The sequence below is a fragment of the Homo sapiens genome, chromosome 9, assembly GCF_000001405.40.
Source record: "Homo sapiens chromosome 9, GRCh38.p14 Primary Assembly".
Classification (NCBI taxonomy): Eukaryota; Metazoa; Chordata; class Mammalia; order Primates; family Hominidae; genus Homo; species Homo sapiens.
In genome coordinates, this window is record NC_000009.12 from 109243817 (window position 1) to 109268576 (window position 24760).

The following is a 24760-nucleotide window of genomic DNA, read 5'->3' on the forward strand; positions in this document are numbered from 1 at the left end:
GGGTGGATGTTTCCCAGGACGATCACGTTTCCCCCTCTGACAAAGGCTGGGGGCTGGCACCCAGTGCCGGTTCTTGCCCTCTCCAGAGGCGGCTCCCTGTGAAGGGGCTGGGAAGCTGCCCTTAGAAGGTGACAACACCGGCCTTGAAGGGGGTCGTCCGGAGTACCAGAGACAAGCTGTATTCATCTTCCCAAGGGAAGAGGCGGAAGGTGTCAGAGAGATGGGGAGAGTGGGAGGCAACTTCTCTCTTCAGAAACAATTTTTGTCATTGCTGAAAATGACAATGACCATGTGGAACAGTTACATCTGCACACAGACAAGGACTGGACAGGGATGCTAAGTGAAGCAGCAGGGCCGTGGGTGAAGGTTTTTTCTTTCTCTCTGGTTTATGCAATAAAAATAATCTTCTAAAATGCAATCCAAAACAAAATACCAAAACAAACAAAACCATCCAGAGCGCTTATCATCCTGATAAAACAGGAGGGAGGGAGAGAGTTTGAGAAGAAGGGATGAGGGGAGGGAGGGAAGGAAGGCAGGTAGGGAAAGAGAGAAGAAAGAAAAAGAAGGGAAGGGAAGGAAGAAAGAGAAAGAAGAGAAGGAAGGAGGTTGAAGGTTGTCTTTTTTTTTTTTTTTTTTTTTTTTTTTTTTTTACAGAGTCTCACTCTGTCACCCAGGCTGGAGTGCAATGGCAGTATCTTGGCAACCTCTACCTCCTGGGTTCAAGCGATTCTCCTGCCTCAGTCTCCTGGGTAGCTGGGATTACAGGCACGTGCCACCACACCCCGCTAATTTTGAAGGAAGTTGTCCATTTTAAGAAGAGAACACAGACCCTGTACTCACAAACGGACTGAGGTGCAGCCCTAGCCGGCTAGGTAGCAGCCTGCCTTTCCACTTCTGGCCTGCAGAGGGCAGTGGTCCTAGACATCAGCAGAAGTCAGGGGCTTCTCAAGGCTCAATCTCCTAAGGGGCAAATTAGGCCCTCCTGACATTTAAGTCACTACAGTCTTGCCACTGTTACTCTTTTAATTATTTCTTCCCCTCCTTCTCAGGATACTTTGCTTAGTAAGCAGTGGCCTGCTCTCTGGCACAGAGAATCTCAGCAGTTCTGTTCGTTCCATTTTCATGGACCTGAGATGCCCTCCCTGCCTGTTCTGTATTCAAGCAGCCTTTCCTTTCTCCTTCAAAGACGCCTGTCAGCAAGCAGACTCTGCAGCCCCCGGAAGGACATGCTGCAGGAAAAGGAATCTGGAGAAAATACCTCAGTAGCAGGATCTGGGAGCTGACCAGGGCTTTAGCATCTCCCTGCTGCAATCTCTGCATATTTCTCCTTTAGGGGCTACAGAAACCCACAGAGTTTAGATGATTTGCCCAGAGTCTAACTGTTCCAGGTGTTTTGATCACATAGACAGGCCCAGAATGAGGTTCCATTCATTGGCTGTTCAACAATAGAGAAAGGCTGACCTAGAACTGGACCCTCTATGTTTTCCTCTGGCTTTAAACACAACCAAATCAGATTCATCAGAGAGAGAGGTGGGAACCTTAGCCACAGACCTGGAAAAAGATTTTGGAAACTTCCTTGGTCTCCTCTGGCAATTTATTCACATTCTCAACTGTCAAGGAGTATTTTAGTGTTAACCCAGCTGGTTCTCAACTGGTACACTCATATCCCTTGGAGGACAATGGGAAATGACTGTGTGCATGTTTGCTTGTCATAGTAAGAGAGAAAAGGGAAGCTAATCATCCTGCAATTCCAGGGACAGTCCCAAACAATGAAGAACTCTCCCTCCCCAAATGCCAACAGCGTCCTCATTGAGAACACAGAGATCCATCCTTTGCAGCTGGCTGACCTTGCAGTGCTTGAAATAAGATAAATGCTGCAACACCATCCTCTCAAATACCCTTCACGGTATTCACATGCCAATCAGGCCACTTCTCAGGACGTTCTCTTCCCGGTCAATTTATTCCCAACCCTTGATAGAACACAAGACCTCTAAGATTGGCAAGGTCCAAAGGACCCGTGGTTGCCAATGATGTTGCGATAACAATGCCTAGATGAGTTTCAGTAGATCTGATTTCAACAATCGCCTCATGTTCACTCTAAGCAGAAAACGCACAGTGAGAACACACTACAGGCTATGCGGAGAGGGCACAGGCAGTGCTCAGCTGCTTTGCTTTTCTAAAATTTTTCTCTCCTTCAAGCACTGATCACCTATCAATTACCTGTCTCTACAACTTTTCAGTTACTCACACCTGAAAACCCCTTAACAAAAAACAATCAGTGAATAACAAGATTCAAGAACCCTGGCCGGGCACGGTGGCTCACACCTGTAAACCCAGCACTTTGGGAGGCTGAGGCGAGCAGATCACTTGAGGTCAGGAGTTTGAGACCAGCGTGGCCAACATGGTGAAACTTTGTCTCTATTAAAAATGTAAAAATTAGCCGGGCGTGGTGGCATACACCTATAACCCCAGATACTTGGGAGGCTGAGGCAAGAGAATCACTTGAACCCAGGATTATTTAAAAATAGAGATGGGGTCTCACTATGTTGCCCAGACCGGTCTTGAATTCTTGGGCTCAAGTGATCCTCTTGCCTTGGCTTCCCAACGTGCTGGGATTACACGCATGAGCCACTGTGGCCAACTCTGAGTTGGTCTTTGAGAGATACTTTAATATACTGATAGGAAGCAAAGGAATTCCAGGCAGACAAACACGGGCAAAGAATGGTGGGAAGAAATTATGGGGCAACAATTATGCAATTCCCTGTGAGTTGAACATATGGAGCGTGATGGGAGTGGTGAGAAATAAATAGAGAAGTTGGAACCAGGTGGTACAAGGCTGTGAATGGCCAGAGAGAGAGCCACCCACAGTGGCTTAGGAAGAATGTGCTTGATCCAGGCTGAGCTGTAAACCACACCTTCCATGTTACCAGGCATGGGTGAGCTGGCAGGCGGCACAGGCCCTGGTTGGCCGTCCTGAGAAACAGCAAGACGCCAGCCATAGAAACGTACCTGTGCTCCTTCCTGCAGGCAATGGGCCTAGCACATCACCTAGCACAGTGCTTTACAAAGCAGGTTCTAGAAACCATGTATCTATTCGTGTTAATGAGTTCACCACTACCAAAAAATGGTAGGGGTTGAGGCTAGCGTTTTTTTAAAAAAGATATGAAGGGGCTGAGGCTAGTGTTTGTCTTTTTAAATAGATGAGTTCCCACTGTGTCGTCTGGGCTGAAGTGCAGTGGTATTCATGATAATAGCTCACTGCAGCCTTGAATTCCTGGGCTCAAGTGATCCTCTCGCCTTAGCTCCCCCAAATAGCTGGCACTACAGATGTACACCACCGTGCCAGCTCAAGACTAGTTTTTTTTTTTTTTTTTTTAATCAGGGGCGTGAGAGGGGAGCAATTCGCAAATAATTTGGGGAAACAATACATTTAAAAAAATAAAACATGTCTTTCTTGCAGGATTTCTCAGTACTTTTATACCTCAGTGGACACTGTAAAATCCAAGAAGGGGAATGAAAGATGTGACATTTCCCAAACATTTGACCAAAACATCCTTTCCTGGAAGCCCATCTCAAGGGACTCATGTTCCCTAGGCCTAAAACACACTTTGACCAAAAGCTGCCTCACTTGAATGCCACTAAGGGGCTGTGTGTGGCCACCCAGAAACTTAAACATATGTCCCTGATGCTTGCCAGTTGACAAGGTTAAGAAAAACAGGCAGTTCAGATGGCCAAGAAGTGGCAGGGGTCAGAAGGAAAGGGCTCTTCTCTTACCATTTTCTCAAAAAAACAAATATTGTTATTATTTTCTCAAAATCTGATTACAAATATGATGACTGCTCATTATGGAAAATTTAGAAACTTTACAAAAACCTTTTTTTAAATTTTATTTTTAAAATTTTCCTTCTTTAAAGAAAACCTTTAAAAGCAGTATCTTACCTGGTAATTATGGACTTCTGGATTTGTTTTAGAGCTAAACAAACAAACAAACAAAAAACAGAAAAAAAAAGAAAAATAGGTTGTAGAGTGGCATTATTAATGATTTATTTAACAATCATGAACTATTCCTATGTGCTACATACTCTAATAGGAACTTCCACATAATGACTTTTTTTTGGTTATTGGCTGTTTAAAATGAACATATAACAAGGAAAACCCCAGACAGCAACTTTCACTTGTCCTTTTAGAGCTCACAAACAGAAACAGTAGGAAATATTCCAGAATGCAGTCTCAATGTCATATTTTGGTGACAAAAATGAGGTCCTGTTTCAGTTGGGCAAACCAAGTAATTTTACTCCCATTTCAGGCCTGCCCTGGCATTGCTGGGAGACCTCACAGCACCGGCACCAGAAGCTCCAGTGATGCGCAGAGCCTCTTCCCACGGCAGGGGGAGGCACCGATCCCTCCTGAGCATCTCCCACTGGGTACTGTGGTGGGAGCCACATGTGGGTCCCCTTGCTATTAAAACCACTGTCAATAATCTGGCCACCACTTTGGAATGTTCTCTCCAGACAAGACTCTGTACTGGGAACTTCACATCTGTTATTATTTAATCCACACGACAAGGCTATGAGGTCAACAAATGTGACCACCTCGTTTTACAGATAAAGGAACAGTTGCCTAACAGAGAGTTGGGAAACCTGCTCAGGGTCGCCTGGCTGGTCAGTGGGAGCCAGGGCTAGAATCAACATCTGCAGAATCCTAAAGCCTGTCTTCTTTCTGCTAAACCAACTTGGCTCTTAGAGGGACTGAGAAAAGGCTCAGGGCTCCTCATCATGATCCTATTTCGATGGAATCTTTTTGTTTGTTTTAAGAGATGAGATCTCACATGTTGCCCGGGCTGGTCCTGAACTCCTGGGCTCAAGCAATCCTCCAGCCTCAACCTCCCAAAGTGTTGGGATTATAGGCATGAGCCACTGTGCTTGGCTGATGAGATCTTAAATGCTAAATATATATATATAGGCCGGGCGTGGTAGCTCACACCTGTAATCCCAGCACTTTGGGAGGCTGAGGAGGGTTGATCACGAGGTCAGGAGATCGAGACCATCCTGGCTAATACGGTGGAACCTCGTCTCTACTAAAAATACAAAAAATTAGCCGGGCGTGGTGGCGGGCACCTGTAGTCCCAGCTACTCGGGAGGCTGAGGCAGGAGAACGGCGTGAACCCGGGAGGCAGAGCTGGCAGTGAGCCGAGACTGCGCCACTGCACTCTAGCCTGGGCGACAGAGCGAGACTCCATCTCAAAAAAAAAAAAAAATATATATATATATATATGTATATATATGGACAGAGCAGGCAATCATTATTGCCAGGAGGTGTGCTTGAAATCAAGTGTTATTGCTGGCTTCTCCAACACTGAGAGGCAAACAGATCATTGTTATAAGTCTTGCTTGGGGTCTAAATGGCTCTGTGTTCTGGTTTTCAGGGAGGACCAGTACACAGAGCTAGGCTCTGAACCAGATCACCTCTGGCTGGACTTCATCAGGTAAGTTAAGCGTTCCGCAAGGTGCTATTTTTCTAGTAGTACCTCTGGAGCCCAGAGCACAATTTCATCCACGGCTCCCACAGCAATCCTACTCACCCTGGGATCCCACAGGCTGTGAAGAGCAATTGAACAGCTGCGAACAGCAGTTATTAGCTCATTTGTTCCTAAAGGGTATATTTATCAGGGCTTTTTTTTTTGGGCAGAATTTTTTTTTTTTTTTTAGTTTGTTTTGGTTCCCAATATATAATCTCCACTAGATGCTGGGAGGAAAATGTAATTTTATTAGGGAGAAACAAGCAAAACAATCACTACCTTAGAGAGCAAAGTAAAGAAATTGGGGCTGTAACTTACAAGCCCCAGAGAATTAAAAGCAAGACACCCCGACAAGCTAAGAAAGGTACAGATACCATTTGGCATACTATCTGCCAGAAGGATCCTAAAAATGGGGTGAATCTAGGGACCTACAACTAACCCATCCAGAATACTGCAACCTCCTCCCACCCTCCGGGGCAGGGGGCGACACAGAGCAGTTCAACAGGACCCCTGAGCCCCTTCATCAGATGCTGAGAACAAAACCCAGAGACAAAAGGCAGAATGACGCTGAAAGTAGGATTTGGAATCAGAGATGCGAGGTTGAGTTTCCAGCTGTGTAATATGAGGGACCAGCTGTGTTCTCTAGAACCCTGGGTTCCTTGAAGGTGCCCTGGAGCTACGGGGTGGGAGGAGTGGCAGAAGAGCAGGCAGGAACTGGCCTCTCCCTCCCCACTCGGCTTCATCCGGAGGACCTCCACATTTGTCTGTTCTGTATTTTGGGCTTTGACATCAGGTTTCTTCTAGAGGGTGAAAATCAGAGGGTAAAAGAGTTTGGAAAAACACTGATCTAGCCCAACCTCCTGATTTGCAAAAAAGAAAACGGAGGCCCAGAAGTAGGAAGGCCTAAGTCTCCAGAGCTGGGTTAGAACACAGCTGGTACCTGGAGGGAGGGTTCCTGATGCCTCAGCCAGGGCTCTCCTCGCTCACCGGGGTATCTGCAACCCGCTCCACCCCGTGCCACGTTTTGCCAACTGTCCTGACTGATAGTGCATGGCACAGTCAAGCTGTGCCCATCTCAAAGACCACCCTCTCAGCCGCCTTGAGACCTGCGCCTGGGATGACTGAGAGCCTAATGAACCTGGCCTACCTACCAGCGGCTGCAGTTCAGACCAAAGGTCCAAACAATGCAAGTCTGTGGTTCTCTCACATGACAGCTTGTCTACTCAACAAGCCAAAACTCACATAAGACAGGCAGTTGTTTCAGAGAGAGCAAGAGCGGTATATGCCGGGCAGACTCACCTGGGCAGCTTTAAAAACAAGCTATATGGGTCCCACCCTGAGAGACTGATTCAATGCGCCTGGGGTGTGGCTGCGGAGGATGTTTCAGATAATTATGCTCACCAGATCATTCTACTATACAGGCAAGACCCTGGACACCTGTGCCAGGGAAGAGGCCTGCAAAAACTATACCCCTTGGGCCAAATCTGGTCCACTGATATTTATAAGTAAAGTTTTATTGGAATGCAGTCACGTTCGCTCATTTACATATTTTCCACAGCGGCTCTCTAGCTACAACAGCAGAGGTGAGTAGCTGTGAAAGACACAGCAGAGCCTGCAAAGTCTCAAACATGGACTATGTGGCCCTTTACAGAAAATGTTTGCTGAATCCTGTGCTGGCAATTTTCACTCTTGTGATAAGTTCATTTTCCTGCAGGAATTTCAGTAAAGGTGTTTAATGTCTTCTATGATGTAAAACCTGCACGTCACTGAGCAAATCTAGCATCTGCTCTCGTCCAGCTTTTGCTCGCGAGCAAGGCCTTCCTCTCCCAGCACTGCCTGCCACGCCATGAGCACAGTGTGCTGCGCACAGGCCTCTACCTTTCCCACCCACTGTTATCATAAACAAAGCACACAGCTACTCAAACAAAGCAGCTGTGTTTGCCAAAAAAACCAAACTGTCTTGGAACATTATATTGTGTACTTATTGAAAGCCATGAGCATGGAATAGCCAGGCAGCAGAAAAAGGGGAAAAAAATTACCAGATGACACACTTCCTGATTTCACTGTAGTAAGGAAAAAGTCAACATTGCAAATAAATACGATCCTTAGAGAGGAGAGCTGTGCTCTAGAGCTCAAGGACACTCACCAGAGCTGGGCTGCTATCACTGGGTTGCTTGCTATAAAGGAAAAACAGAAAGTTATGACATCTTAGAGAACTTTATCGCTTTCACCATGCAATGACAGATAATGGCCATGCGAGACTTCTACCATCACAGAGCCTTTCCAACTCCAACCCAGGCAGAACTGCATGGTGGCTACTTCTCCTTTCCTCAGGGAGAGTAAACTACCCCTCCCTCTGATTCACTCAGCAACCATCCACTCAGCAGGTTCCCAGGGCTGGGCGCTCTGGGAGGCAGGGACAAAGAGACACAGTCTCTGCTCTCAAGAAGTTCCCTGTCTAGAGACAGAGAAAGGCAGATACAGAGAAGTGGGTAAAAGGGAAAACAGCACACGGTGATCAGGGATGCAATATAAGCATGGGTCTGGACTGAGGGGCCTCGGGGACGCCGTGAGGGCCTGCATGGACAGAGCCCTGGGAATGAGGTACAGCTTAGCCGCTTACACTCCATTTTGTTTTTAAAAGGATAGATGTGGCAGGGAAAATCATTAAAAGCTTGACAAAGAAGATGCTAGAACTCTGGCTGGAAAAAAGTCAGTGAAATAAGGGAGAGAAAAGAGGGAGGGGGAAAAGAATCACAGACCCTGGGGCCCAGATCTCTAAAGCCATCTGGTGGGGTCAAACCACAGGACGTCCACTTCCCTCTGTGACAGCCACACCAGGGGGTCCCTCCCTTTGTGCTGTATACACCTGTAGGGGCTGGGAACGCACTGCTATCTTGAGACAGCTCTTTTGATCTTTGGAAAATTGTTCCTTACACTGAGCTATTTCTGGACAACTCTGAACCAGTGGACTACACACACCAGCATAATCCTCCTCATGGAACAGAACAGAGAGCGTTCTGGCCCCTTCCTCCCGGGCGCTGTGGCCACCCTTCATCAACCCATCGCCCTTCTCTGGACACGCTCCCATCCCCTGGCCTCTCTCGAAGGGCAGGACTATTTCCTGTGCTGTGGGCATTTTCCCTCCACTAAAGCAGCTGGGAGTGACTAAGAATTTCAGGTAGTCATGCTGTTGCACCATCGGTTCATAAAGGAAAGAATGGTGGGGAACACAAAGTTACAGATTCCAGAAGGGAACAAGTAGAGGTACCAAGTCCCATGGAGGCCCACTAAGTCCTGAGCCAAGAAAAATGCATGGAGTGGCCACAAGGAAATCATGTACAGAAGGGGCCAGGAGGCTGGGAGTGCAGAGGCTCTGCCATAAAAGAGCAAACACTGAGTACAAACTGGGCGTCCTAAGTCGGGGAGCAACCTAGTGTAGAGAAAGAAGAGCTACAAGATGGGATCTGGAGGCTGGGATCCAACAGAAATGAGCCTGGCTTGCTCATTCACTGACTGAGTTGTACTGTGTTCCGGGCCTCATACAGGTATGAGGCCCCAGCTGTAACTGATGGACAAGGTTGAAGGGGTTTGGAAAGGGGAAGGGGGCAGGCATTCTAGGGCCTGGCTAAATTTAAGGGTGAGGAAAGTTTGGACTGACTGTGGGACTTGAGCCGAATATCTAAAAGTTCTTCATGTACTTGTACGTGGTCAGAATTCCAGTTAGCATGGGCCTGATGTCCACACTTAAAATTGCAAGATGATGGAGATACAGTATCTTCTATAGGCAAGAAAGGTGTTTCCCTGTGATATTCCTGAGGTACCGGGGCTTGAGCCCAGGTCTAAAAGAAGCAAAGAGGCACATGGAAAGAAATATGGAGAAAGGGGAGAAATAAATGAACACATCCACGGCAAACACTAATGACAGAGGGATGGCGGAAGTGGCCAGGTCCCGTTAAAAGAACACCACTGGGATTATTTTTCCAAAAGCTCCAGACTGGAGAACTGCGGGTACTTTCTTCATAAGCTGCTTGACCAAGCTCCTCGAGGGCTTAAATGACTCAAGCATAATGTAAAATTCCAAGAAAGAATGAAAAACACACAACCTTTGAACGTTGAATGTCTCCGGGATGGATAACGTTTACTAGGCTTCCTCTCAAAGGTGCTGGTTCTTCGTAACCTGGAGCCATGTGTAGCTTGATATTCTGTCCGCCCACTGGGAAGTAAATATTTTCTCGTGTGTTATCAATATCAGAATCTCAGTACATTACCTGTTTTTGAAAGTGCACTTTTATTTCCAAGAGCTCCAACGTACGTTTCAACTTAGCCTGAACTCACTTGGGTAAAGAAACACAAAGTTTAACCTTCCATTTGGAAATAAAATCTCCTTTGCCAAGTCCAGGCTACAGTCCAGGGGCAGATATTTCCACCAAAGGGCAAAACCTGCAATTTAGGTACCAGCCACTTGGCTGCACAAACCAAGCAGGTTTGATACATCTCATTAAGAGAACATTGATTTTCACATAAAATAACCTTTCACAGAACACACTGCATAGACATTTAACCCATCTTTTAGAAGACTGTTATCAATACCCACTTAACTAGGTCTCAGCTTTCTTTGCTATGCCAAGGCAAACATTACTGATTTCACTAAGGCTTTTTGGGTTTCAACCAACGTGACACCCGGCTGCAGATTCCAGGAGGTTGCTGGTTTCGTCTGATGTACTCCTCAACTGCTTCATTCCAGTTGCTCTTAGTCACCATTTGTCACCTGCTCTGTGTGCCTCTAAGGGCAACCTCTTCTCCTCCAAACTCCCTTCCTTCTTACACTTCCAGAGGAGCAGAAAGGAACATGGTCTGGGACTAAGCCTGGGGCAGTTTCCTCCCAGGAGAGAAAAGCCTGCCTTGGCAACTGCCCTGACTGTCCTTCCCGCCTCACTCCACTCCGAGTAGACACCAGCATTCTGTGGAGTGTCTCCGGTAACCTCTGCATCCTCCACAGGACCCTGGGATTTGATTGTTTCTCAAAAAGAGCTTGGTCTTCCCCCCACCCCGCCCCCGACCCCTTGGAGCATTTAAAACAAAATAATTCTTTAAACAGAAGTTCATAGCTATTTCCTCACACAGTAGAAACATTTGAAATGAGCAAATCTTTTGGCATTTAAATAGAGTTCAGGGATGTGCCATGTGTGGGTAGAGGTTATGAAACCATGTGAAGTTTTAGATATCGTAACTGAGATTCTCAAATGTAAATAGGCCTCAAAAACCCTGGGAGCACATTTTAAATGCGTACTGCCAGGCCTTACACATACACACACATGCATACCCACAGATTCTGACTGCAAAGGTCTCAGATGAGGTTGTTGTCCTCATTTTTAACAAACACCAAGAAAGTTTTCACACACTTTGAGAAAAATGGTCTTAGGATGATAAGCAAAAATATATCAGAATAAGCTCTTGATGTTTTCAGGCTCTTTTCAGATTCAAATATCTACTCATCCTACCTTGGGTTACACATTGATATCTGCTCTCATTCTTAATTACCCCAAATTTCTGGACATTGGCATGCAAAAGGCAATACAGTAGCAGTTAGAAATTTAACAGCCAGAGTTCACAGGGTTGAATCTCCGCTCTACCACTTACTGGCTGTGTGTGATTTTAAGCGTAATGCCTCTGGCCCTGGTTTCCTTATCTGTAAAATGGGGTTAATCAACCTACCTTATTAAGGGTGTGTGAACAGTTCTGGCACAGTGCTGGCCAACAGAACTTTCCAAAATGATCCTGTGTCCTGTGTCTATATTGTCTAATATGGTAGCCACTAGCCACATGTGGCTTCTTGGCCGCTTGAAATATGACTAGCGATACTGAAGAATTACATTGTAAAATTTATTTCATATTCATTAACTTAAATTGCCACGTGTGGCTAGTGCCTACTGTATTGAACAGCACAGCTCTGACTAAATGTCAGTTATTAACAATTTTGTTATTAGTTCCATTTTATCAATGACCAGGTGGGGGTCAAAAGAGCTTCAGTTACTCACCTTAAGAAACGTGGGGATGGGACACACAACCTAAGTTTCTGGACTCAAATCCACTACTCTATTCGCATACAAGAAAGAAATCACAGTTGCCCTCCTTCAGAAGACGTGATCCGTGTTGCAGAAATGGCTCCCTACCTGAATCTGAAGCGAGAGCCCAGCCTGATAAAGTCGGATCTATTGGATTTGCTGTTTCCTGGCGTCCGCAGTCGGAAGAATGCGTGGTGCTCAACTGCACACTTCCAAAGGTGTTTGCAGGTCCTGGCACTGTCTAACCGGAACACAAACGTGTGCTCTTGCTCACGTCCCTTAAAGAGGAAGCACAAGGGCCTCGAGTGGGCGTTTGCAACCCCAACACAGGATTTTCACAGCAAGGGGGAAGAAATGGGAGCCAGGCCTACCTGATCATCATCCTCGACCACCACGAGTGTCAATTTGCTCTTTTTAAAATCCATTTTGGTAATTTTAGGCCTAGTCAGACAGAAAGCATTTTAAAAGCACAATCTGCAGTAAAACTATCTACACATCAAATAGCAGTTTCCTTTCTACTTTTAAAGCTTAGACTAAAAAAAAAATAAAAACATTCATCCAAGTGTGATTATCCAGAAGTTTCAGCGCAACTGCCACAGACCCACAACAGCAGCACCGTGTGCTCTGAGGATGAATCTGGGTGTTGCAGATACCCCTCAATAATCATCCATCACATAGAATTCCACCACAAAATAGGAAAAGACATTTTTAATATTAGACAAAACTAAATTACCAAAAGAATAAGCCTATTTTGTTAGCTCCTTCAAAGATTAATATGCCTGTCGGGGTCAGTCCAAGAGAATATTCACAGCCATCTCTTCCCTACAAACAAACGAAGTGACAATCGGTAGAGGGTTCTAACAGGTCGTCACACAGCAGAATGCAAAATGCAAAAACAGTTTCCTCACCACAAGTTATTTTGTTTGCATAATGTTCATACATTTTTCAGTAACAGCAAAACCAAATTACTTAAACGCACACAGTTCTTACCCTGACAACGTGCATGTCTACCCCATACATTTCCAGCCACTTCGCTTTATTCAGATAGGAGAGTTCCGCCTGGGCAGGGCTCTTTCCCCTTAGAAAAACCAATGGAAATACATGTAAACTGCGACTCGTAAGCCCACAGGATTCTGAAGGGCACGGCCTTACTATGGAACGTTATGCAGCAATTAAAGCAATGAGGGATGCCAAATTATAGTAATACAAAAAGATTCCCAAGACCTTACTGTTAATTGACTAGAAAGACCACAGAACAGGCTGGGCGCAGTGACTCACGCCTGTTATCCCAGCACTTTGGGAGGCCAAGGTTGGTGGATCACTTGAGGTCAGGAGTTCGAGACCAGCCTGACTAACATGGTGAAACCCCATCTCTGCTAAAAATACAGAATTCGCTGGGCGTGGTGGCACATGCCTGTAATCCCAGCTACTTGGGAGGCTGAGGAAGGAGAATCACTTAAACCTGGGAGGCGGAGGTTGCAGTGAGCCAAGATCCAAGATCGTGCCATTGCACTCCAGCCTGGGCAACAAGACTGAAACTCCATCTCAACAACAACAACAACAAAATCACAGAACAGTGCTTACAATATGATCACTTAAGGAAACAACAAAACAAGTTGTATATGTAAATGCAAAAGGAAAAGACTACAGGCTGCCAATGATGGCTTCCTGCAGGGAGGAGAGTGGATGTGTAAGTGTGTGGGTGGGGTGTGCCATACCCGCAGACATTTACGTTGTTTCAGTGTTACACAATGAGAATGGACTAATGCCACCTTCCACTAAAATAGTCACAGGAGCTTTTCAGAATGACTGAGGGATAAGAGAAAGTCATGCTAAGCTCCAGAGTCCAAGGGTGACCTGGAGGAGGCAGTGTTTGGGGAAGATGGGATGGGAGGGAGGAAAGGTTAACATCTAGGAAACCCGTGAGTGAGGGGTGGCGTTGGTAGTCCAGGCATGAAAGTGGTGCCTGCAGGGGGAATGGAGGGAAAAAACAAAGGGGATAAATGACACTGCTGGATTTAGGTATGATGATCACACTTCCTGAAATGTAACACTGTACAGCACACGGTCTCAAATATGTATGTTCCTATACAACAGGGTATATTTCTAAATTTAGGGCTTGTTTCAGAAGGTTCAGGCCCTGAGGTCCCAGAGATGCAGGTATGTGAGAGTGCCTGGGATGCCCTGGGGTGTCACTAAGACAGTGGTGGCTCCCCCATCCGCAATAAACAAATCAGAACCAGGCTCTGTTTGCAGAGAGAGAAAAGGAGTGTGGTTTGGTTCTTGCTGCACATCTCTTAAGAGACAGACGGCCAGGTGTGGTGGCTCCTGCCTGTAATCCCAACACTTTGGGAGGCTGAGGTGGGACAATCACTTGAGCTCAGGAGTTTGAGACCAGCCTAGGCAACGTGGTGAAACCTCATCTCTGCAAAAAATAGAAAAATGAGCCAGGCATGGTGGTATACGCCTATAATCCCAGCTGCTCGGGAGGCTGAGGCAGGAGGATTGCTTGAGCATTGGGAGGTCGAGGATTCAGTGAGCCAACATAGTGCCACTGCACTCTGGCCTGGGCAACAGAGCGAGACTCTCTCAAAAATAAAAAGGACAAGATGTGGGCCTTTGGAAAAACAGGACTGACACAAGGAGAGAAGAGTTGGCGCTGCAGTTTTATGGCCATCAACAGAACAATTCTACTGGTAGATAAAGGAGTGTGATCAACACTTATTTATGACAAAATAGATACATCAGAATGCTAGACGGTTGCATCAAGGTACCTGCACTCTTTCCATCTCTGGAAGATATCAAATTCCATTGCTTCTGTCTGATTTGGAATGAACCGAAACTCAGACACAAGCTCTGGTGTGTGTTCTGGAAGCTCGCACTCCCCAAGCTCCGCTGTAAGTTTCATAAAAGGGAGGAAAATAGGAGACATTGAATGATTTCAGTTATTGCTGCAACCAGGTCCAAAGGCATTTTGCATCATTATAAAGCACAGCCCCCCGCCCCAATGTATAACTCTCTCCTTTCGGGAAGACTTAACTCTCACTTGGGTAGTCATATGTACACTCAAAATCCTAGAAGCATTCTAATGTCCTCCCTGTTGGGTGATACAGCATCATCCTAGTTATTACTGTCTTTCTCTCCACTGTTGTTCCCACCCAGGGAAGCACCAGTTACATTTTCCCCACGAAGGGGTAGAACCCTGAATTTGCAATAAAAGGCAATTGCAGGGAATGAGGATCTGCCCAGAAACATCCATTTAACAAGCCTCTCGTTAAGAGTAGGTCAGAGCAGCACTTCAGGGTCTGCAGTGCTGGAGAGGATAGATCAAGAATTCGGCACATGCAGCATCCAGGGGGAAAGTAGGAAGGGGAGGGAGAGGCAGAGCGAGAGGGAGGCAGGGAGGAGGGGTGCGAGGGCTGCAGGAGCAACTGCGGGAAGTCAGGCAGAACCTGGGAGGGAGACAGCTGTGCAGAAAGGAGGGAGGAGCAGCCACACGAGTGATCCGAGCAAGAAGCCCAATTTGTGCTGCAATTTGTGCTGCCCTTGCCAAGTCCCCCACAGGATGGAGGGCCTGAGGATACAGGTGGCCCCCTCCTCCAGGGATGATGAGAAAATCCACTCTCCCCCACCCCCTGCAGCTCAGGAAGCAGACCCCAGAATGAAAAGGAATCCTCTAGAGTTCCCTCTAACACTAGGCTACACCAAGTGTGGACCACACACCAATAGTACTGCCATCCCCTGGGAGCTTGCCCAAAACGCAGAACCTGAAACCCCACCCCAGACCTATTCAAGCAAAACCTGCCTTTTAACAAGATGCCCAGGTCACAGGCCTGCCCATTTGTTGGAAAAATCACTGAGGTATAATAGTGGCTTTCGAATTTGGGTGCGCATCAGAATCACCTGGTGAGCTGGTTAAAATGCACATCACTGGGCCCCGCCCCCAGAGTTTTTGAATCCCTAGGTCTGGAACCCGGCCTAAGAACTGGCTTTTCTAACAAGTCCCCATGTGATGCTAATGTGGCGACCCTGGAAAACACTTTAAGAACCTCTGCTGCACACATCAGATCCCATCAACTAACACTTCACTCAATTTGCAATCTCTGCAGCCAGGCCTCAGCTCTAGGAGGCCGTGGAGGGTGGTGGAAACAGCTCAGACACAAGAGGACTTGGATCCCAACCCTATCATAATCTATCTATGTGACTGCAGGCAAGTCACTTAACATCTCTGGGTCTCCGGTGCCTGATTTGTAAAATGGGAATTGTTACAAGAATGAAAAAGGAGCACAGGCATGCAACAGATGAGTGGCCTATTAGTTCTCCCTTCTTTTCCTTTTACCTGGTTTAATTTTTAAATCCACCACAAATTTAGTTCCCAAAAGAGCACAGCCTCCCTGCAGGGCCACTGTATCACAACTCAGGAGGCATCGAGGACAACCACAGCAAGACATGTCTTCAAGGCTCAAGCACAGGAGGAAACACAACCCTTCATTTTATTCAAACCTACAGAGATGCTCTAGTGATCCTTAGAGTCCCAGACAAGCTAGCTCAGCTGTGGGTGAGGTGGAAAGCAGACTGTAGCATTTACTCATGGAATGGGGTTGGGGAGAGGGGGCACGGAGGGACAATGTAACAAGAGCCTCGCCTTGTGTCTAAATCTTCAGTGTTTTTCTTTTCTTTTCTTTTGAGAAAGGGTCTTAGTTGCCTAGGCTGGAGTGCAGTGGCGTGATCACAGCTCTCTGCAACCTCAAACCTCAACCTCCCCTGGCTCAGGTGATCCTCCCAGCTCAGTCTGTAGCTGGGATTATAGGTATGCGCCACCATACCTGGCTAATTTTTGTATTTTTTGTAGAGACAGGGTTTTGCCATGTTGCCCAAGCTGGTCTCAAACTCCTGGGCCCAAGCGATCCGCCCACCTCAGCCTCCCAAAGTGCTGAGATTACAGGCATGAGCCACCATGCCCAGCCAAGTCTTTTTATTTCTATCTGACATAACAATCAATTGTATCTTTTTTTTTTTTTTTTTTTTTTGAGACAGAGTCTCGCTCTGTCACCCAGGCTGGAGTGCAGTAATGCAATCTTGGCTCACTGCAACCTCCGCCTCCCGGGTTCAAGCAATTCTCCTGCTTCAGCCTCCTGAGTAGTTGGGATTACAGATGTCCACCACCATGCCTGGCTAATTTTTGTATTTTTGGTAGAGATGGAGTTTTACTATGTTGGCCAGGCTGGTCTTGAACTCCGGACCTCAGGTAATCCACCCGCCTCGGCCTCCCGAAGTGCTGGGATTACAGGGGTGAGCCATCGCGCCCGGCCAACAATTGTATCTTAAAATCACACTGACATTATGATTTCAGCTCAAAGGATAATTTCTCCAAGAACGGTCACAGAGAACTGACCTTATTTGTGTCTGTCTCGGCTCTGGGGCAAGGTTTTGGTTCTACACTACTCTGTTAAGTGTGGTGAGGGCTTCATTGCAATGGGGTGGGATGGTAATACGTGCACCTCATCCTCTGATCTTTCAGGACAACGTACAAGCTTGCAATATTGTGCCAATGGCTTTAGGAGGAAACCTTTCCAGTGGATTAATGGCCTTCCGTCTCTTTTGTCTCATTCGTGACACCCTGACATCTACTGCTGGGCTGTCAAGCCTGATGGTGTGACCTCTGGCAGCTCAGGAACTCTGGGGTAGAGGAAAGCCACTTGCTAAGTGGGTGAGTGGCCGGAGTGCGGAGGCCACGGCCATGTTCTCCAAGCCATGCCTGTCGTTATAGCACTTGCCATAAAGACTGTCATATCAGAAAAATACATCGGAAGCACTGAGCACTGTATTTGGCACAGATGGCTATAGATGACATTACCATCAACTCTACCACCAGTTTAAAGGTTCTGCCTTTAAAGTTCTTGGCGGGGGTGGGGTGAGGGGGGTCTCTCCAATTTCAATAATTCAACTCACTCTGCACTTACCAAGCATCTACTATATGCCAAGTCCCCATTAGATAATAAGAATTAAGAGTCTGGGTGAGGTTGCTCATGCCTGTAATCTCAGTGCTTTGGGAGGCTGAGGTGGGAGGATCGCTTGAGGCCAGGAGTTCAAGACAACAGGAATTAAAAGGTGACTGAAGAATAGAAGTTTCAGGTAATGGGAGCATCCTACGGTCATTAAAAACCATCTCTATGAGTGTACACATGACAAAATACACATACTAAAAATACCAAGTAAAAAAAATTATACAAAAATTTGCAGATGACTGATCAAAATAACATTTTCAAAAGTCCACTCAAAACTCATAGCTAGAAATTCTGGTTGCCTGTGGGTGGTAGGACAGTGGGTTCCTTCCTTCCTTATGCTTGTCTTATTGGTGGGTTGTTGTCCTGATATTCTGTAGTAAGTGTGTACTAATTTTATAATTTGAAAAAACCTCTCAGTTCCACTTTTAAAAACTGGCCAAATACAAAAGTGAGAAGTCAATTCTCATTATGGTATTCATAAGTAATTACTAATTATGAATGAATATGTCATAATCCATAATCCAGTAGAAGCTGATGAACATGCTGGCAAATGAGTGCACAACATATGTCTATCTGATGTACTAATGAAATCCCGGATATGCAGTTACACATTAGTATTCTCTTAATTAGTGCTAGAGACTTTAGCAAGTGTTTCTTCTGCATCCGAAACTACACACCACCAGGGCATCACACAGATAAACGGCCAATGCTGACAATCATGCAGGCAGACCTCTTACCATCCAGTTCCCACTCACATGCAAAAATACCCTTTGCACCCCACCAGTCCTGACATTAATGCTTCCAGTCTGACCTCTCTGAGTGAGCCAGATTCAGGTACTCAAGAACCTGCTGGAGCTTCTAGAACCTCTTAGTCAAGGGACCCAACACAGACCATTTCCTCCACCAGAGTCCACCTCTTCTAACCTCTATCCATCCCCAGAAACAGCCTGAGAATCATCTCAAACTCCTCCCTCAACACCTAAGTCTAATCACCAAGTCCTTCTCCTTGTACTGCCAATGCTATTTCTTGGTGTGTGTGGGGGTGTGTGTGTGTGTGTGTGTGTGTGTGCAAACCCCTGCCCTAGTTAGTTTCCTTTCCCTTCTATTACAGCAGCACCTCCTCACTGGACTCCCAGTCCCAGTCTTGGTCCTGCTCTGATCCCTTCTCCCCATATAGCCAACGTGGCCTTTCTAAAGTGCATATCCGGCCAGGCCTGCTCCCTCTTAAGAGCTTTCAAAGGTGTCACTGCTGACTGCATGAAATTCTTTCTCTTTAAATGGGGCCCGAGGTCATCCACCTGTCCAAATGCTTGAACTTCACTCTGTAGCATCACTCAACTGCTGCTAACCTCTCTGCACTTTTGTGCCTTGGTTCCTTGACTCATGGTCTTCTCATCCCCACAATGGGCCTTCCTTGTCCAAACCTCCTGCACGTCTCTGTTCCTGAAGGAACTGCACTGCAGTCCTTGCTACTCCTTGCCTTCCTCACTGGACTGCACGCCACTTGGGGACAGAGACCGTGTCATATTCATTTATATCCCCAAAGCTAAGCACTGGGCCTGGTATACTGTGGACACTCATTTGTTGAAATAAAAAGCAATAACATTAAAATGCTAATTACTACTAAAGATTAATGTACCTTGTAGACAGAGAGCAGCTAATTCCACAGCTGTTTCATAAGGGCATTTCAATCTTGAAAAAAATAAAATGAAATTAATTCGAAATAGGAACTTAAGTACAACCATACAAAATGTCATTAAAATCATTTTTCAAAAGGTAGCGCTATTTAGATAATGACTTGTATTCTTAGTCATATTTTTGCTGTCTACATTAAAGAATGCAACAAGCGACTTGCACTACAAATTTCCCAAAGTCAATTCTCATCATAGGGCAAAATAACCCAATGTAGGTATAGTTTCTATCAATCGTGTACAATTTTACTGAATTTGGCAAGAATGGAAAAGTTTGGAAAACAGAATGAAAAGTATTCCCTTTGCCTTATTATTTTTAAACATATTTTAAATTTATTTTATCTTGATATAGTACATGCATCTTTTTTAAAGCTGCCTTCAAATCTTTCTTGAAACAAGGTCATAGCGTTAAAAATAAACACACAGACACCATATCGAACACTGCCAGCATGGCTGGATACACTCAGCATTCTAAGTCTATCTAAGGCACAGCCATAGAAGAGTACTACTGCAAATTCAGTGATCTCATTCATACGTAATATTTCAAATTTGGTTAGAAAAACAATAATGACATACATTGGTATAGCACTTCATAGTTTTCAAAGCCTTTTCATTTATATTATCCAATTTGGTCAATGCATCAAGTTTGTAAACCTTTAGGATAGGTGTTGCCAGTGAGCCCCCCCGACCCATCTCCCATTATATAGATGAGGAACTCAGTGTTAAGGGCTCTTGCCCCAGGTCATCCAGCTGGAAAGGAGCAATGTTGGGACTTGAACACCATTCTGCTTTTAAATACAAAGCAGGCTAAACTGCATGTAAACTACAAAGTACTGTACAAATGCAAGGTGTTGCCATTAATATTTTTCCAAACCGAAGACAATTTCTAGAGTTACACAGCCTTTAGTATGAGGAGCACAGTATGGAGAGAGAGAGGTAGAGAGAGAGAGAGAGAGGGAGAGAGGATTAAAAAAAAGTACACACACTCATAATACACACACCAACCAAAGGTCTGTATTGCACGGCTGAATAAGGCAAATGTATACACTGTACAATCTACTTGTTCTATTGGTCTATGGAGTACATTTCACTGAGGTTTTTATAGCACATATTCTATGGAGAGTTTGCAAATTCGGAAATTACATATTTAATTTCCTTCAGATTATATTCAAAATCAGAACGTATTCTTTTCAATAGCAGGGGTTACTTTTTAGACTCAATATAGCCTTAGTTTTTCATGTAATAGAAAATATTCAATACAGATGCTGAAAAATGACACAGTTATAAGAGCTATGCCTGTTGAAACCTCTTATCTTTACGGTAAATTAAGACTGCATGCGAAATCAACCACTTCAGTGCCAATGCTTCTTATACTCAATGATCACTGTGTGCTGCCAGAGGCCTAGTATTTCAAAGCCATTTTTAAGAGGAGAAAAGGAAGTGAGATGAGATGTCTAAAACTTTCTACTGGAATCAGAACATAACCTCTTTCCATTACATATATGCAGATGGTGATGAATGACACTTTTTGACTGTCCAAATACTTGTAAGTGTATACATACTAATAACGTATCTTGCTTGCAAATACGACAAAAGCCATTATGAATGGGACAGTGATGTGATCAGGGAGAGAGTTATTCCCAAATACACATCACTTAAGATATTAAATGGTCTTGGAAATGCTTCAAGCCATATAGTAATCATTTAAAATAGGATGATAATGACAGTGATACAAGTATTAGACTCACTTTACAATGCCTGGTGCACTTTTTTTGAATTTTGAAAAGGGAACAAGGGTAAAAGAGTTAAAACAGTGAATTATTTTGAAATACACTATGATCTATCCTGGGTTAAGAGTTAGAACAAAAACATACTTACTTTCCAGAAAGAATGTCATGCCTGAGTTGTAAAACAAACAGGTACCTGACAAACATATACAAAAGTCAACAGAGGGTAACTCTTTCCCAGCTGCTCCCAATCCCCAGCTTCCCACTGCAAACCCCACCCCACACACAGCATGGAGTTTTGCATTGTAAAAAAGGAGTCCAAATCAAATGAGAACTTTGGTGGAAGCATCTCCTCTTGGGTCTCCAGGAAGGCATCCCAGAACCACGCTAGGAAGGTGAGTGCATGTGGGGAACTCGCAAGATACTTGTAGGATGGAACGTGATACACGTCATGGTCCAATGACGGCCTCCACAACCCCCTCCGTGCTGGAGAAGAGAGCCGAACGTGGCACATGGGCATGCAACATGTCCAATAACCCAGGCAGGGTGGGGCCGCGGGGTCTGGCTCTCAGCCAGCTCCACCAGCGGATTCCAGATCTGCTGCGGTGGATTGTAACAAAAAGTTTGCAGCTGATTCTAGTCAAAAAACCACTGGGGGTTCTTTTCCCCTGATGCAGTGTAACTGCAGACTCTTTTAAAACACAAAACAGGCACAGCACACAAACACACACACACACACACACGAAACAAGAAAAATCCTGGCACTGGACTGCAAATGGTTAGAGGGGTAACAAAAAATGAGAAAGAAGCCAGCAAATAACACGCATGGGGTTTACTCAAGTAAAAAAATAAATGTCTTGGCTTAAATAAGAGGGGTATCTTTTGTTTGTTTTTTACCAGGAGGATGTAGGCATCAGAACCACTCACAATGCTTTGTAAAAACCAAAACTGCCTGTGCTCTGCTCCCTACCTACGGAAACAGAATCCTACACACAAGAGTGGCCCCCAGGAATCTGAGCTGTTCAAAAGCTTCCCAGGTGTTTCTGATTCACACAACCTGGGTTAAAAACCAATCGCTTTGATGACAGCTAGAAGCAGCATTCATAGAGGACTCTGAGGAGCAACACTAGAATGACTGTTCGCCAGAAATCAAGGAGATCGGGCGTGCTGAAGGTTCTAGTACATTCCAGAATGTTCCTGCTTCCTGACAGGTGTTTGGCCACCACTGAACTTCACTTCTGAATGTCAGGATACCATCTTGTATACTCATCTCACAAGAGACACAGTATAAACATGGCCAGAACTCTTGATTCCTATAAGAAAAACTAACCATAGCAGCCTAGCAGGAGCCTGGGTAACAGGGCAAAACGCTGTCTCTATTTTAAAAAATACAAAAAATTAGCCAGGGGTGGTGGCACACACCTGTGGTCCCAGCTACTAGGGAGGCTGAGGTGGGAGGATCACTTGAGCCTGGGAGGTTGAGGCTGCAGTAAGCTGTGATCACGCCACTGCACTCCAGCCTGGTTGACAGAGCCAGACCTTGTCTCCAAAAAAAAAGCCCAGGGGAAATGGTGATAACCAGTCAGTCTTTAAGGCATTATTTAGGGGTCATCTCCCTAAGAACCACCCAGCAGCCTACATAGCCTATATGTCACCACTGCAGTCCATCACACAAACAACGACAAGGAGGCTCTGGGGATATCAAAAGCAGGAAAAGGCTTTGTAGAGAATTTCACTGATGGAAAAGGGTAGAGGGAAACTCCACATTTAAAATGTTACTCAAATTTTCTTTTTCTTCTTCCCTGTTTCTGAAGTCCAAGACATAGACATGGGCAAACAAAACAAAAAAGAAATTCAGGCCGGGCGCAGTGGCTCACACCTGTAATCCCAGCACTTTGGGAGGCCAAAGCGGGTGGATCACTTGAGGTCAGGAGTCTGAGACCAGCCTGGCTAACACAGCGAAACCCTGTCTCCAGTCAAATATATAACAATTAGCAGAGTGTGATGGTGTGCGCCTGTAATCCCATCTACTCGGGTGGCTGAGGCAGGAGAATCGCTTGAACCCAGGAGGTGGAGGCTGCAGTGACCCAAGATCATGCCACTGCACTCCAACCTAGGCAACACAGCAAGATTTTGTTTCAAAAAAAAAAAAAAAAAAAAAAAAAGAAATTCAGGGGAGTTAAAAGATAACATGAAGGGATTTTAACAACTTTGCTATAATTACTCTGTTTTTCTTAAAGAGGTTCCTTGTATTGTAACAATCAAGAGAATATTTTGCAATCTCTTAAAACATAAGATGGCGATTAAGGACTGAGAAATGCTTTTCCAATATCTGCCTTCCCTTTTTGTAGTTGAGATAAAAATAAAACGCCGCAGAGCAACCAATTAATTTACCCAGGGTCCAAGAAAATAGAAGTGTGACAAGAAAATGTATCTTCTAATTTCTATTCACTCAGAAAAATGTCAAATTAAGCAAAGTTGTGGATTTTTAACGGAACACGGAAGCACCGGAAAAGTACTAATAACTCTTGCTGAGAAATAGACAGCAGACAGAAGAAGAGGCAAACCCACAATTGAGAAGAGCCATAAATGACATGTAAGGCAAGCCCTGCTGGGCGGGAGCTTGTTCTGCATCGTGGCCTACCTTGTAAACTCCTCACGAAGGTTGTTTGGTTCTGAAGAATAGTATTTAACTCGAAAGTGTAAAGCATAAGCAGGTCCAACTAAACATTTGGAGATGGAAGGTTGAAGATGTTTTTCCCCCAGTTTTGAAGATCACAGGATGGACAAAAGGGAAAGCACGTTAAATCTATAACATTTAGCACAACATCAGGACAGCATAACTGGGCACGCGACACTAGCCAATTCTTTTCAGTCCTCATCAGGGAAACTGAGATGGATGGACTTTTGTGCTGACTAAGATAGTTTAGCTAGTAACCTCATTCCAGGAGAAAAACCCTAGTGATTTAGACAGATTACTAAAAGCTGACATTTTATTTTCACCCCTGATGCCACAATACTCCAAACTGACAGCTAGTTTTTACAAAGTACAAAGGCTAAAGGAAAGTGATGCAAAGTGTTCTGTTCTCTAAAAATACTTTAAAGTACTTTTAAGAGAATATGAATTTTTAAAAATTACCCAAGCATAAACAACATTAAAAAATGTGGTTTCCACACCTGTACATTGAGAAAGCTGTAGCAGACTATCAAAGAGCCCTCCTACTCTCTCATCCTCTGAGTCTATGTTGTAACTCATTAGAAGTAGATATAATAGGTATAAAGCTGAGTTTCTGAATAGCAGGTTAATCAGTTCTCATTGGCAGAGGCGTCTGATTTCAAATGAGAGCACAGTTGGTTTTTCAATATCCACTAAACATTTTTATTCAAATTTTAAACTCTCATCTTTGGCTAGCCTTAAGAAATTAAAAATCATCCACTTAATACCGAATTGATTTTTAAAATGCTTCCAAGTTCTAATGAAAACATAACACCTCAAAACACTGGCAAAGGAGTTTACTCTCAGAAAAAAAATAAATGAGTGAGCTAAATTCTGCTTACTTACTTTTCATCTGCTTTTTTATGGGTTTGGCATGATCCAGCCAGTGCTGAAAGAAAGAAAAAAAGTTTCTTTAGGAATAGTTCATCAGCAAGGTTATTCAGCCCTCACAGTTACCCTCCTCTAAAAGCCTTAGTAATTCTACCCACAAAAACCAGGGTTTGGATCATATCATGGGTTCTTAGGCTGGGA

At 44.9% G+C, this 24760-nt stretch overlaps 1 protein-coding gene across 9 annotated transcripts in view; it reads right to left on the bottom strand.

Moving 5' to 3' along the window:
* EPB41L4B (erythrocyte membrane protein band 4.1 like 4B) overlaps positions 1–24760 on the bottom strand; it is a 149086-nt gene that overhangs the window by 71843 nt on the left and 52483 nt on the right. For all 9 annotated transcript variants that reach the window (XM_017014815.2, XM_017014814.2, NM_019114.5 and 6 more), the window contains exons 3-14: positions 24575–24617; positions 23657–23735; positions 21164–21208; positions 19234–19286; positions 14361–14481; positions 12577–12664; positions 12320–12408; positions 11958–12027; positions 11695–11864; positions 9625–9734; positions 7665–7695; positions 3940–3973 (exon numbers count right to left, since the gene is read on the bottom strand). In XM_017014815.2, coding sequence (XP_016870304.1) covers positions 3940–3973; positions 7665–7695; positions 9625–9734; positions 11695–11864; positions 11958–12027; positions 12320–12408; positions 12577–12664; positions 14361–14481; positions 19234–19286; positions 21164–21208; positions 23657–23735; positions 24575–24617 — 933 coding nt within the window. The remainder of the gene's footprint in view (positions 1–3939; positions 3974–7664; positions 7696–9624; positions 9735–11694; positions 11865–11957; positions 12028–12319; positions 12409–12576; positions 12665–14360; positions 14482–19233; positions 19287–21163; positions 21209–23656; positions 23736–24574; positions 24618–24760) is intronic.